General features: G+C 40.3%; 1 protein-coding gene across 1 annotated transcript in view; it reads left to right on the forward strand.

Annotated features, from left to right (window-relative positions):
* The window catches only part of RMND5A (required for meiotic nuclear division 5 homolog A), a 57,751-nt gene that overhangs the window by 33,537 nt on the left and 8,785 nt on the right, over window positions 1-15,429 (forward strand). Inside the window, exons 5-6 of the mRNA NM_022780.4 lie at window positions 11,200-11,366; window positions 12,032-12,197. Coding sequence (NP_073617.1) covers window positions 11,200-11,366; window positions 12,032-12,197 — 333 coding nt within the window. The remainder of the gene's footprint in view (window positions 1-11,199; window positions 11,367-12,031; window positions 12,198-15,429) is intronic.

Genomic DNA, 15,429 nt, shown 5'->3' on the forward strand with positions numbered 1-15,429 from the left:
TTGTGTGGGCTGACATTACAACAAGCACTATTGTTCAGCCAGTGCAAGTTTGATATTTAAGCTTCCTTCATGTGCTGGGTTTTGCTGGGTTTTATGCTAGCATTCTAAGAAATTATTGGTTATTGGAACTAGGTGGTGTGGATGAAGAGAACAAATATTTTTATAAAGCTACTCTATTCTTAATTACTGTGGATTTTGGTAATTGACCATGAACCTCTCATTGATAAGAATTGTCTGAAATTACTCTGTAAGCTATAATAAATATTATTCTAGAGCAGGGTCAGCAAGCTTTTCCATAAAGGACCAAGTAGGAAATATTTTAGGCTTTTCATTTCACATAAGGTCTCTGTCGCATATTCTTCATTTTATTTTACAACCCTTTAAAAATTTAAAAACCCATTCTTGGCCATCTGCTATACAAAACAGGCAGCAAGCTGTATGTGGCCTGTGCCATAGTTTGCTGGCCCCAGTCCTAAAATTTTTTACTGTGAGGATTACCAGGTTATTTGTAATAAATAGCTCATAAAATAAAGGGAAGAAACTGGATTATAGAAGCAGTGATTTGTTGTGAGCTTATAGCTTTGGAATCCTGGTATTTTAAAACCAGAAAAATTAACCATCAGTGTTACAGGGTTAGCTGGGAAGTTGACTTTTATAAAATGTACACTTTTTCCCTTAAAATTTAGTTCCACTAACCCATTTAATTCTTCATAGCTTAGTTTTTTCTTTCTAATCATTTCTCAGTTCTTTCTCCTTTTTGAGACAGGGTCTCACTGTCACCCAGGCTAGAGTGCAGTGGCATAATCATGGCTCACTCCAGCCCCAACCCCCCAACCTCCCGCCTTAGCCTCCTGAGTAGTTGGGACTACAGGACTGTGCCGTTATGCCCAGCTAATTAAAAAAAATTTTTTTTTGTAGAGACAGGATCTCACTATGTTACCCAGGCTGGTTTCGAACTCCTGAGCTCAAGTGATTCTCCCACCTCGGCTTCCCAAAGTGCTGGAATTACAGACTTGAGCCTCTGTACTTGGCCATTTCTCAGTTCTGAGAAAATTTTGTGTAGTTCTAAAACCAGCCCAGATGACTAGACAGAAATTCCTGTATAAATTTATATAAAATTCTTGTATAAATTATAATAGATCTCACTTAAGAACTGTATCTCTGTGTAAGATGCATATTACCTTTGTAGAATTTGTTTAAGCAAATTTCAGATTGTGACACATCTGGGAGATAAATTCAACCAAATACCTCTAACACCTCTTAAACAAAATATGGCAACAACTACTTTTTTTTTTTTTTTTCCCAAAGAGACAGAGTCTTGCTCTGTGGCCCAGGCTAGAGTGCAGTGGGATGATCATAGCTCACTGCACACTCTCAAACTCCTGGGCTTAAGTAATCCTCCTGCCCCGGCCTCCTGAGTAGCTAAGACTACAGGTGCACACCACCACACCTGGCTAATTTTTAAATATTTTATAGAGACAGGATTTCTCTATGTCGCTCAGGCTGGTCTCAAACTTCTGGCCTCAAGTGATCCTCCTGGAGCGTCAGCTGCCCGAAGTACTGGGATTATAGGCATGGGCCAATGTGCCCGAGAAAGCCTACATACATATATGAACATGTAATGGGTTTCCCAGTTGTTTTATAGTGATTAGCAAATAATATTTGGGTTGTTATTCAAGGTAATATTCACTTATCTATGCGTTTCTTAGGTTTTTTCATTAAACTTTGTTCATATGTGCTAGTCATGTACGTACTATGACTATATCTGTAGTCACTGGCACATAGTATTTGCTACCTTAGCCTTCAGAGTACTCCAGACTTTTCTCCTAAGAGCCTTTTAAACTTTGTGCGTATATAAGATATGTTTCTTATTGATAAGCATGTTATGTATATTGATTATTTCTGTAAATTTTGTCTATTATTTGTTGCCTTAAAACAATTCCTCTCAGGCAGAGAGAGGACTTGTTCCATAAGTAAAAATTTTCTCATTTCATGTTTCTGGGAGTAGTGTTTAATATCAGCATGAGGGAATGTAGTGGTAATCATAGTTAACTCTGCTTGAGTGGTTATTGTATGCCTAGCATCGTTCTAAGCATTTTACGTGTCTTAACCTATTCAACCCTCATATTAACCTATGAGGTAAGTCATCTTACAGAGAAGCAATTAGGGCCTAGAAGATCCTCTGTGAAAAAAAGTCAAAAGATTATATGAGAAATGCTTTACATAATAGTCCCCCAGTATTCTCATTTGAGGTTCATTTTAACTTATTAAGTGTATCATCAAGCCAGGTGCAGTGGCTCACACCTGTAAGCCCAGCACTTTGGGAAGCTGAGGTGGGCAGATCGCTTGAGCCCAGGAGTTCGAGACCAGCCTGGGCAACATAGCAAAACCCTATCTCTACAAAAAAATAGAAAAATTAGCTGGGTATGGTGGTGTACGCCTGTAGTCTGAACTACTCAGGAGGCTGAAATGGGAGGATCACTTGAGCCCAGGAGGCGGAGTCTGCAGTGAACCAAGACCACACCACCACTCCAGAGCCGAATCCTGTCTCAAAAAATAAGAAAATAAATAGAAGTAAAAACGTACCATCAGTAATCCTACAGTAAAGAAACTCATTTAACTTGGTATAACCCAGTGTTTTCTCTGTGTATTTGACCAATCTTGTTTTCCCTCCAGATAACACATTTAAAACCCATAAAATTGGAGTTATACAAAACATAAGATTTAATAGAAATCGTCATTACAACAATTCAGATTTTTCCAATTCTTGCCTATTGTGGGTGCAGAGCAGATACTGACTAAGCATCTTTCATGAGCTAGGTACAGAAAATTCCCTTTACTCAACTTACAGCAAAAGTTGAATGATATGGGACTCCAATTTGGGGAATTCTAGTTAAGGTACAAGGCGGGAGATATCTGCCAGTTATGCAGCATCCCATTTGTTCCTGCTGGGAAGGATATCATGGAGCTCACAAGGGAAAAGAGGAAGGAGAGGATGCAGCAATTCCTCCAGACTGCCTATGCGGTGAGAAGGCAGAGGCCAGCCAAAAATTTGAGGTGGCTAGGCCGGGCACGGTGGCTCATGCCTGTAATCCCAGCACTTTGGGAGGCCAAGGCGGGCGAATCATCTGAGGTCAGGAGTTCAAGACGAGCCTGACCAACGTGGAGAAACCCCATCTCTATTAAAAATACAAAATTAGCCAGGTATGGTGGCGCATGCCTGTAATCCCAGCTACTCAGGAAGGCTGAGGCAGGAGAATCGCTTGAACCCGGGAGGCGGAGGTTGCGGTGAGCCAAGATCGCGCCACTGCACTCCAGCCTGGGCAACAAGAGTGAAACTCAGTCTCAAAAAAAAAAAAAAAAAAAAAAAAAAAAAAAAAGTGGAGGTGGCTAAAGGCCATTGAGGGCCTAGGGGAATGGTGATATTGTGGAGAGAAGTGGCAGAACAACACCTGATTACATAGATCTAATCAGGACCTTGCCTGCTCCTGTGTTCCGTGCCCTTGTACCTCTGAGTTTGTACAGATTTTCCCCCTCATCCAGATTTCTTTTATGCTCACCCAGATTGTTTTATTTGCTTTTTGAATTTCTCTTGGCGCCTAGAGTAGTGCTTACCTCATAGTAGGCCCTCAATGAATAACAGTAATCTGCAGGAGAATTTAGAGCAAACTTGTCATCCTCTTCCATGGTGGCAGATAGAAAGCCAAAAATAGTGTTAACGAGAGAATAGTAACTTAATACAACGAGGTGGGGGAAATATTAGAAAAAATAGGAACTGTCCTTGTAGCTATGCCATTATTAACATACATATTGAAAGAAAGCACTATCTTTAGGGGAAGCTACTTGGTTGCCTTCCTAAACGTGTCTCAAAGAGTAATACTACCTTGCTGGATTTGCCACAGTCTAGTATCTGACTTTCAGCTTTGCAGACTTGGAAACTTGTTTTTGGTGTCCTTATTTTGTTTTGTTTTCACTAAGAACAGGCCTTTAAAAACGATAAAAACCTGAATTGCTAAGCTGCGTACATAGTTTGGATTATTAGGGGCTGTGAAACAAGCTTGTGGTAGGCAGGTCCATGTGGAAGGCACATGAGCTTGCAAAGCCTGGAGTTGGAACAAGAGGAGATTGTTCTAGAAAATGTTCAAAGTTCTCAGGCTAAAATGTCCTGATGCCATTATGTCCACCATGGAGGTTGTGTTGCAGAGCCGTTGGGCAGTTCAGACTTCATTCACTGACTCCTTTTCTCAAAATTGTCCTTGGCTTGCCTTGGTCGAGTTTTGAGTCAGCATTAAGTATCCCAATAGGTAATAAATAAGAGTACAAAATCAAAAGGCACAACAAGATAAAAATACAGTGAAAAGTAAATCTCCCCACCTTTGCCTTCTAATCACAGTTACTCTCCAAACAGGCAGCCACCATTAACTGTATTATGTATACGTACATTTTTATGCACAAGTGGTTGCATACTATACACAGTGTTCTGCTTTTTACTTGAAAAATTTTGAAGTATTTGCCTATATCAGAGCATATAGAACTATTTTTTTTTTTTGGTGGCTGCTTAGTGTTCTCTTTTAGGGATTATACCTTAATTTTATTTAGCCAGTTCCTATGGATGGACGTTTGTAGTTTCCGATATTTTGCTTTATAAGTGATGCAGCATTGAATATCCGTTGCACATTATTTTGAGCATGCCTGCTAGATATGTTGTCCAATATGGTGACCACTCCTATGTGTAGCTCTTACTAATCTCTGCATTACTGAGAACCTCATGTAAAAGGGTGTGTGTGTGTGTCTTAAATAGAGTCAGATATGCAATACCATAGTTTGTGTGGTTTCTTAAATAGCATGTGAAAAGGACAGAGACTCACACCAACTCTGAGATGAGTTTAATGGTAGTAGTTCCAGCAGTGGACTCAGCCCATAGCTGAAAAATTACCATTTGAAAATATCTAAGAAATGAAACACTGAGTGTTCTTTTCAGTCTCTAAAGCAAAGTTACAGAGTTCCTCACTTTTTTGACTGAACTTTTTGTCAGGTTTGCCATTCTCTGAATTTTTTTAAGCATTTGATTCATGTTACTAAGGACATTTCACCAGGTCCACACCTGTGGAGTAAAAATCAATGTCATTCATTCCCCTGAACTTCAGCTTTTACCCCCAAGAGTATAGCCTTAAAGGAAATTAGAAAAAGAGGTTTTTGTAAGCCTTTAAATGCTGTGAAAGGTTACAGTGGAATGTGCTGTGGGATTGGCAAGAGGCTTTTTTTCCCTAGTATTACTAGAAATAGACACCCACCCAGGCTGGCAAAATTGTAAGATTAGAGAGATAAGCCCACTAATGCTGTCTGTTAGGTTCCTGAGGGAGAACCGCTAACTATGAAGGTGAAATCTTGTATTTATTTTTGGAATGATGTAGAAATTCTAAATATGGAGGTAACTGTGTGCCAAGTCTTTTCACAGGCCTGACAATTAAGATAATTAATGCTAATGTTTCTGCTGGGTAATTGTATAGATGTGGATTGCTTCTAACTTAGTCTTCTCATAAGTAATATTGTTTTGGGGTTTGTTGGTGGAAAGGCCCCAAAAGGCTCTTCATCAGAAGAATGTAGTGGCAGAGATCAGTGTAACACTGTTGATCTTACTGTCATTTTTGGGGTTCAGTGTTTCTCTAAATGGAGTAATTCCAAAGGTGACAGTGTTCTCGTGGTCCACGCTGGAAATTTGGGATCAGAATTTTTTTAAAAAAATTATAGAGTTAATAATTTCACTGCATTTTTAGTTTGCTTGCCCCCCCGCCCCCCACCATCTCTACTAAAAATACAAAATTTGCCAGGCGCGGTGGTGAGCACCTGTAACCCCAGCTACTCGGGAGGCTGAGGCACAAGAATCACTTGAACCCGGGAGGCAGAGGTTGCAGTGAGCCGAGATCACGCCACTGTACTCCAGCCTGGGCAACAGAATGAGACTCTGTCTCAAAAACAAAAACGTGGGGAGGAAGGAAGGGGGAGGGGCAGGGGCAGGAATCATTTTAGTGAGAAATAGAAAACGAATTTCGTTTTCTTTGTAATTCTTTAAGATTTATGAGAATGGGCCACAGACACCCTGACTTGCTCAGGTTCTCAAACTTTATGTCTTTCCTCATTATATCAGTCTGGAACTTCTTTGTCTTTATAAAGTAACCTCTTACCACTGAGATCTCTGTGTCCTTTCTCTCCTGTTTGTATTCTTTTTTTTTTGAGACGGAGTTTCACTCTTGTTGCCCAGGCTGGAGTGCAATGGCGCAATCTTGGCTCACCACAACCTCTGCCTCCCGAGTTCAAGCGATTCTCCTGCCTCAGCCTCCTGAGTAGCTGGGATTACAGGCATGCGCCACCACACCCGACTAATTTTGTATTTTCAGTAGAGATGGGGTTTCTCCATGTTCATCAGGCTGGCCTCAAACTCCCAGCATCAGGTGGTCCACCCACCTCGGCCTCCCAAAGTGCTGGGATTACAGGCCTAAGCCACTGCACCCAGCCCTTGTATTCTTTATTGAACCTATGGGCAGTCTTTGCAGGTTTCTAACATACATAAATTCGTTTTTACCACAGTTTAGTTAAATAACACCTGGCTGCCAACAACACAGTTCAGATTTCAGTCACCATGATGTATTAACTGTGAGCAATTGTATAAAATACAGACTTCTCTGCCAGCTCTTCAGTCTACACATCTGGACATAACAGGAGCATCATGGTCATGACCAGTTTTGTCACTTCGCTCTTGATCACTGCACATCTACTGTCAGTTACTCTCAGGCAACAGCTGTGTGGGTTGTGTCACCTCTTTAACTCCCAGGGATAAACCCACGTGACATTTTACAAAAATGGATAATTGGAAGACGGACTTGGCAACAAGAAAAACCTCTAGAAGTGAAATTGAATGTGATTAGAAAGATTTGAAAAAGGACAACAGCAAGATGAAGCTAGGGCAAGACCTAAGCCTACAGGAAGCTAATGGTACAAAGCATATTGGAAAAGTCCTGTCACTATAAAGACGAGGGTAAAGTCACTTCACCATCTTTTCACTTATATTGCACTAGAATAGAAAGATGCTTGTGGTTTAGATGGAACATTTACTTCTACTTTGGATTGAGAGAGAGAAGTGTGTGTGTGTGTGTGTGTGTGTGTGTGTGTGTGTGTGAATCAGTTTGGCTACTATTCGGGCCAAATTGATAATAGTTGCCTTATTGAAAGAAGATGGTAATTACAAGGATATTGAAGAACTTCACAGCCAGTAAAAGATGCTTTTATCATGTTCAGAAGTTGTGAATTGACTAAAGCTATCTGAGGAAGCTGCTATTGTGAGTAAGGATGCTGCTGTGAAATTTGTACTCAGATGTCAAGGATTCATTAAGGCGGATGTTAACAATGATCATCACAGAAGGCAACTCTTGATACCAGAGCTTAGCAAGAGGCATAGAATAGTGAAGAATAGTGAATAGAGTTAAAAATAGATTGACTTTCTTATTAGGAGGCAGCTGCGGAGAGTGACTTTGAATAAAACCTATGCTTATTTGGCCAGTTAACTGTGGCCAGGGAATTGAGGTCAAGAAAATACAAATGTGGGTTTCTGGGTACAATCCTGGAGGTATAAGAGAGAGGTCCTATCATGTCAGGTGAGGATTTCACCTTAATTGCTTACATGTGCTTCAATGTTTGGGAGAGTTAAAAGTGGGGTATCTCATCCTTGGTTTAGAAAATGACATTTTGCCAGGGAGGGAGAAGCTTGGAAGTCCCTTGCCTTGTACAATTTAGTCTTAATATAGTATTAAGAAGTTAAATGAGGACAGTATTGTTTCAGAATAGGATGCAAAGAAATACGACTTTTAAGAAATTTGAAAACTTGTATTCTATGAATTTGGGTTTTGTGTTGTCCTCTCCTCCTCCCAGTTCCTTTTTGTAAAGGTATCTACTTACTTTTCTAAATATTTCTTGGCAAGGAGTGGGGAGGAATTAAGCAATGCTAGTTTTTTTCTTATTTCATAGCCTTGTTTATAGCAAAATTTGAAACTGTGCAAACATAAATTTAGTACATTAAAAATTATATTTGTCTAAATAAATGCCTCTCCAGGTTAAGTGGCGTACAGGTGTTTATAGCTTATAAAGCTTAAATTGATAATTCATAACTTTCAGGAAAAGTAATTTATAATTACTCTATAGGCCTGTTCATTTAAAAAAAGGAAGTTAAGAAATTTTACTTTTACATTAGCTTAAAAAGTTACTGCCTTTTAAAGTATAAAATTAATACATGTTCATTACAGAAAACCTGGAAAATATAGGACAGCATAGACTGTTACAGAAATCACTGTAATATGGTATTGATTGGTGTGTCTTCCTGGTGGTTTCAGACCCCTGGTGCTGATCTAAGAGTTGGTGCCTTGTTCCGATTAGTCATGGCCCATGGTATAGCAGTTGATAAATAATGCTTGAAATCCCAGAGTCATTACTGCTAAACATTCTGGTGTCTAAAAATTACTTTAAAAAATGTATCACTCTTTTGGCTGGGCATGGTGGCTCACGCCTGTAATCCCAGCACTTTGGGAGGCCAAGGTGGGTGGATCACCTGAGGCCAGGAGTTCAAGACCAGCCTGGCCAACATGGTGAGACCCTATCTCTACTAAAAATGCAAAAATGAGCTGGATGCAGTGGTGCATGCTTGTAGTCCCACCTACTTGGGAGGCCGAGGCAGGAGAATGGCTTGAACCTGGGAGGCGAAGGTTGCAGTGAGCTGAGATCTTGCCACTGCACTCCAGCCTGGGCAACAGAGTGAAACTCTGTCTCAAAAAAAAAAAATATTTTTTTATATATATATATATCATATATATATCATATATATCATATATATCATATATATCATATATATCATATATATCATATATATATATCACACTTTCAAGCTGAGCACAATTGCTCACACCTGTAATCCCAGCACTTTGGGAGGCCAAGGCGGGAGGATGGCTTGAGCCCAGAAGTTCGAGACCAGCCTGGGCAACATGGTGAAACCTTGTCTCTTCAAAAAAATACAAAACAGCTGGGTGCGGTGGCGTGCACCTATGGTGCCAGCTACTTGGGAAGCTGAGGCGGGAGAATCGCTTGAGCCTGGGAGGCGGAGGTTGCAGTGGTGAGCTGAGACTGCACCACTGCACTGCAGCCTGGGCAACGAAAGTGAAACCCTTTCTCAAAAATAAAAATAAAAAATAGAAAATCACACTTTCCTCCCATTTAACACTATATCATGAACATATTCCTATGAAAATGAGTTTTTTTGTGAATTGTCTATTTATGAATTTTTCGTTTTTTTCTATTGACTTTTTTAAAATTAAAATTTGTAGTTACTCTATTAGCTCCAGTCTTTGACTTTACAAGCCCTTACACATACATCTCGTATCAGAAAGAGAAAAAAGAAAAATCTTACTGCCTTTCCTTACTTGCTAGTAGGAAAACATACTCATGCTTATATGATTGAAGGGGTGTATAAACTTTTGAAAGTGATCTAATTTAAATGCACTACTTGGAACTGGAAATCTGTAAGGTGCCTGGCAGACTAGAGACTGCAAAAAGCACAGTGCTGTTGGTACTGTTGATTGATGTGGGGCATTCACGAAAGACCACTGCCAGAAGTATTTTGCTGGTTGGCCAGGCACGGAAGCTCACACCTGTAACCGCAGCACTTTGGGAAGCTGAGGCGGGAGGATCACTTGAGCCCAGGAGTTCAAAATCAGCTTGGGCAACATAGTGTTTACAAAAACAATTTTTAAAAAAATTAGCCAGGAATGGCAGCATACACCTGTGGTCCTAGCTACTTCAGAGACTGAGGTAGGAGGATCACTTGAGCCCGAGAGGCTGAGGCTGCAGTGAGCCACGATTACACTACTGCACAGAAGCCTGGGTGGCAGAGTGAGACCCCGTCTCCAAAAAAAAAAAAAGTACATTATTGTCAGCAGGTTTACCTGACTTGGTGTTACCACTTGACTGCATCATTTTAGTGCCAGGCAAGGAACCAAGGCTTACAAATTTAGGTAAATATTTCCAAGATCCAGATGATTAATATTTTTAAAAATCACTTTGACTTTGAAGTCAAAGAAGCCTCATGATTTGACTGTAAGGTGTGAATACATCAGCAAGTTAATTAGAATGTTTACATGCTTGTGCAGCCCTTTCTGGGAAGGTTAGGACCCAGTAAAAGTGCAGCTCTGTGAAGTCCAATCTCAATCAGCAAATTCATTATAAATAATTTGAAAGATTTTACTCTTGTGGTTTATGGAGTTACTGAGATTTTGTATTCTTACCCAGTTCAGATTCTAGTGGTCTTTGGTGAATTAGGTTAGGTGGGGAGTATTTGTCTAACTGATGGTCAAATTAAATAATATAATGCTAACAGCTTCTATATATTAATATATTTAGAGAAATAAAGTACTGTTTCCTTATTGCCTTATTGCAAAATTTGATTTTAACAGCTGGCTATATACTTTCCTGCCTTTGCCCTCACCTGACTTGGTAGTTCCAGTTCAAGATTGATTATTCCAACTGTTCTATAGAAGCCCGAGGGGCTGTATTTTGGCTCATTTAAAATTGAATCTTGTTTTTTCCCTTATTAGAACTATGTTTGTACAAATCATTTTGCACAGTAAGATTTACTGTATGATACTTGTCTAGCTTTATCTTCCTGATCAGATTGAAAGCACCTTGAGGGGAAATAATGGTATTTACTGTTTTTAATCACAAAGTGAACAAAATCTTGCAACTATTGAAAGTTTAAAAGTATAGTTCCCTTTCAGGATCTTTGATTCATGCTTGTATATATTAGGCCAGTTTTGTAGGAAAAGAGCAGTGGATCTAGGCAATTTAATTGTGAATCTCGTGGCTGACACCGCTTCAAAGTGTGGTCCTATGCAAGTTCAGATGCATCATGTGACACATGAGAGTCATTCTAGTGATTGTCTATCTTAATGCTTTTTCTTTCACTGGCTGAAGGGCCTCTGCAAGTGTAGTTATTGGTGGTTACTTTCCTGACAAAGGTCTGGGCCCTAGGGATTGATGTTACCATAGACTTCCACAAGATGGCAGACCAAGCCCCTTTTTTGTTTTACTGGGTTTCAAATAGTTTTTAAGACACCTTGCTTATGCTTTTGATTCTTAAAGTCTTTTTTGCCTTTTCTTTAGGTGGGCAGTGTCAAACCGGGAAATGCTTATAGCTCAAAACAGCTCCTTGGAATTTAAGCTACACAGACTGTATTTTATTAGCTTGTTAATGGGTGGAACCACAAATCAGCGAGAGGCATTACAATATGCTAAAAATTTTCAGCCATTTGCCCTAAATCATCAAAAAGGTGAGTCTAGAGTCAGATGTTATTAATGTTTGAAACAGGGCTATAGCCACCACTGTAACTTAACAGTTCTTAACTAGAGCTAATACCTGTTTGCCAGTAAACAGTTGTAGTTGATAATCACTTACAGGAAAAGTTCTGACTGGCTCTAGACAAAAACAAAAATATTAAAGCCTCTTAGAAGTCAGAGATGTTGCAGATTTTGGAATTCCATATTAAACTTAGAGGAGATGTGAGAAAGAGCAAGGTGTGCACTTGCTCTTTTCCACCCCCACCTGGCTGTATGCTGCTGCTCTTGCCACAGCAAAGTGTCAGAGAGCCAAGGTGGCAACTGTCAACCCCACGAAACTGTGTAGGAAACATTAACTCTGCAGTCAGAGATAATGTGATGACATAATTGTTACTTCTCTAGGTAATGGTAATTATACTATGCTGTAGAGAAGAATTTAAATTATAAGTTCAGTATTTTCACTGCTTTCCTTTTCTTCCCTTTTCTCTCCATGCTGTTTAATTTAGGATGAAGGAAGAAACCAAGCTTAAGGACCAGAATTTTAAAAGACCTGTTAATACATTATTTTAGGCTGTATCAGTATGGGTGGGGGTATTCTTGCTTTTCGCAGCTTATTACTGCAAGCAAACTAATGCTTTCTTGCTGGTGCTTTTTTTAGACATTCAGGTTTTGATGGGAAGCCTTGTGTACCTGAGACAAGGGATTGAGAACTCACCATATGTTCACCTACTTGATGCAAACCAGTGGGCTGATATCTGTGACATCTTTACACGGGATGCTTGTGCCCTCCTGGGGCTCTCCGTGGAGTCCCCTCTCAGTGTCAGGTATGGAAATTAGCCCTGTCTGTTATTGAAGTATGCACTGCATTATCACCTTCCCTTAACTTGTTTGGTTCTTGATGTTTAAAGCCAAAATAACTTTTGTCTTTCCAAAGAAGAGTGCAATTGGTATTTCAAAAGATATCACAATTGGCAGTGATGCTGTTTTAGAGAAGCAGTTTTGAAAGTGTGGTGTATGAACCTCACAGGATCCTGAGAGCCTTTTCCACTGTATTGACATTAGTACAGATGGTCCAGAAACAGTGGTGGACTAAACTGCTAGAGCCTTAGCACAAGTTGGGGCGGTGGTACAAACTCCACGAATAGCTGGATTCCTCACCACCACACACTTGCAGTTTAAGAAATGCTAGTTTTACTTAACCACGTCTGTAATCTCAGCATTTTAGGAGGCCTAGGAGGGTGGATCACGAGATCAGGAGTTTGAGACCAGCCTGGCCAACATAGTGAAACCCGCCTCTACTAAAAACACAAAAAATTAGCTGGACGTGGTGGCGGGTACCTTTAATCCCAGCTAGTCGGGAAGCCGAGGCAGAAGAATCGCTTGAACCCAGGAGGCGGAGGTTGCTGTGAGCCAAGATTGCACCATTGCACTCCAGCCCGTGCAACAATGCGAGACTGTCTCAAAAAAAAAAAAAAAAAAAAAGAAAAGAAAAAAAGAATATTCTTGGCCTGGTGTGGTGGCTCACATCTGTAATTCCAGCACTTTGGGAGGCTGAGGTGGGGGGAATCTCTTGAGGCCAGGAATTCAAGACCCACCCGGGTAACACAGCTAGACTCCATTTCTACAGAAAACTTTTTTAAAAAAGGATGTTCTTGGTGAAACATTAAAATTATTAGTTTTATTAAATCTTGACCTTTCAGTACACATCATCTTAATAATTTGTATGACAAAATAGGAAATCCACATAAAGCACTTCAGTTTCATGTCAAAGTATGGTAATTGTCTTGAGAAAAAGTATGTTGTTTTGAGTTATGAGCTAGCTGGTCACTTTTTTTCATGGAATACTTGTTTTGTTTGTTACTTGTTTTTTTCTTGCTTTTTTGAGATGGAGTCTCCCTCTGTCCCCTGGCTGGAGTGTAGTGGCGCAATCTCAGCTCACTGCAGCCTCCACCTCTTGGGTTCAAGCGATTCTCCTGCCTCAGCCTCTGGAGTAGCTGGGATTACAGGCGCCTGCCACCACGCCCAGCTAATTTTTGTATTTTTAGTAGAGACAAGGTTTCATCATGTTGGCCATGCTGGTCTCGAATTCCTGACCTCAGGCGATCCACTGCCTTGGCCTCCCAAGGTGCTGGGTTTATAGGCGTGAGCCACCGCACCAGCCTTGGAATAGTTTTTACTTGGAAGAATCATTAACATAGTTACGCACACTCAGGTTTTTGGCAGTCTTTTTTTTTTTTTTTTTTTTTGTCTTTTTTCTTAAATTTTTAAGACATTCTTGCTATGTTGTTCAGGTTGGACTCAAACTCCTGGGCTCAAGTGATTCTCCTGCCTCAGGCTCCTGAGTAGCTGGGAGTACAGTTGTGTGCCACATCACCCAGCCATTTTTTTAAGTGAACGAAGCAAGCCTGTCACATTTGAAAGGTCTTAATTAAGTATGATTTTACAAAAGCATGCATGAGTAAAAGAGTCATTCAAAGTACAAGACAGACAAATGGATTTTAATGTAGCAGGGTACAAAAAGTTTAATGGTAAAGTTTCAGATTCTGCTCTGCAGCGAACCTTTAGAAAACTACTACCTGTTTTGGCCAAAACTATGAAAAGTCAGTTTTCGTGTGGTATTAAGGAGGAGTATCCACAATGATCCAAAGTGATCAAAGTAGTACTACACATATGTGTGAAACAAGGTTTTTTTTCATTTACCTCAACCAGAAGAACGTATCACAATAGATTTAATGCAGAGTAAACTATAAGAATCCAGCTGTCTTTCTGTTAAGGTAGGCATTCAGGAGAGTTGTGAGAGTTTGGAACAGTGCCACTCTTCTCACACATATATTTTTGTTTTGGAAACTGTAGTTATTTTTTTATAAGAATGTTTGCAATAATGGCATGGTATTTTATTTTTACATGAACTAATCGGCACCTTTTATGTTTCTCATTTTAATTTCTAATGTATTAAAGATATAATCCACAAAAAGAAAAGCTCTTTGAGATCCTTAATACTTAAGCATATAAAGGGGTCCTGAAACCAAAACATTTTAAGAAACTGTTGTAAGAAAATAACTCTTTTTTAGCTCTTCTATTCATTTAATTCCACAAATGTTTTGCATACCTGCTATGTGCCAGGCACTGTGGGCACTGTGTTGGATATGAAGATGAATAAGGTGCATTCCACAGGGTGCTCCATCCTAGCGTAGGAGTGGACAGATGCAATTAGCTATAATGTGAGGCGCTGATGCCATCAAGTTCTCTGAGGAAGACTCTAAAGTGGGAATGTACATGCAGAAAGTTTACTGACATCAGCACCTGTGGGAGAATGAAAACAGCAGGATTGGGCAGAGAGGAAAGTTGGACTGTATTAGAGTGGCAACAAGGTGTCTCCCATCCGTGAGGAGCTCTGGAGCTGCTGTGGGCCCGTGGAGTTGTCCCAAATTGGGCCTATAGGGCTGGGGTTTTGTACCCTCACATGGAGCAATTGCTGGATGTGACTCTGGTCAGATGACTCTCTTCAACTGAGGACAGTCCTGAAGAGACGGACACAGCTGAGAGTTGGCTGCCAACACTTCCAGATCTGAGAAATGAGTGCTTCCACCCTGGACAGGGGTGATCTGGGGATAAGAGGAACTATGCAAAAAAAATGTTTCAGGAGCAAGCATGTCATTTGACTGATAAGCTGAGCCCATTAAATCCAGTTGTTTTGTGCAATATAAAACCTTTTTTGGCACTAATGTAAGATTATTATGAAATTCTTTATATTTTACTTTTTGAAACAGGGTCTCATTCTGTTGCCCAGGTTGGAGTGCAGTGGCACGATCGTGGCTCACTGCAGCCTCAACCTCCTGGCATCCTCCCACCTCAGCCTGCTCAGTAGCTGGGACTCTAGGCACATGCTACCATACCTGGCTAATGGCTAATTTTTATATCTTTTGTAGAGACGGGGGTCTCACTGTGTTTCCCAGGCTGGTCTCAAACTCTCAAACTTAGGTAATCCTCCCACCTTGGCCTCCCAAAGTGCTGCAATTACAGGAGTGAGCCACCACCATCTGCTGTTATTAAATT

This window comes from Homo sapiens, chromosome 2 (assembly GCF_000001405.40).
Source record: "Homo sapiens chromosome 2, GRCh38.p14 Primary Assembly".
NCBI classification, from domain to species: domain Eukaryota; kingdom Metazoa; phylum Chordata; class Mammalia; order Primates; family Hominidae; genus Homo; species Homo sapiens.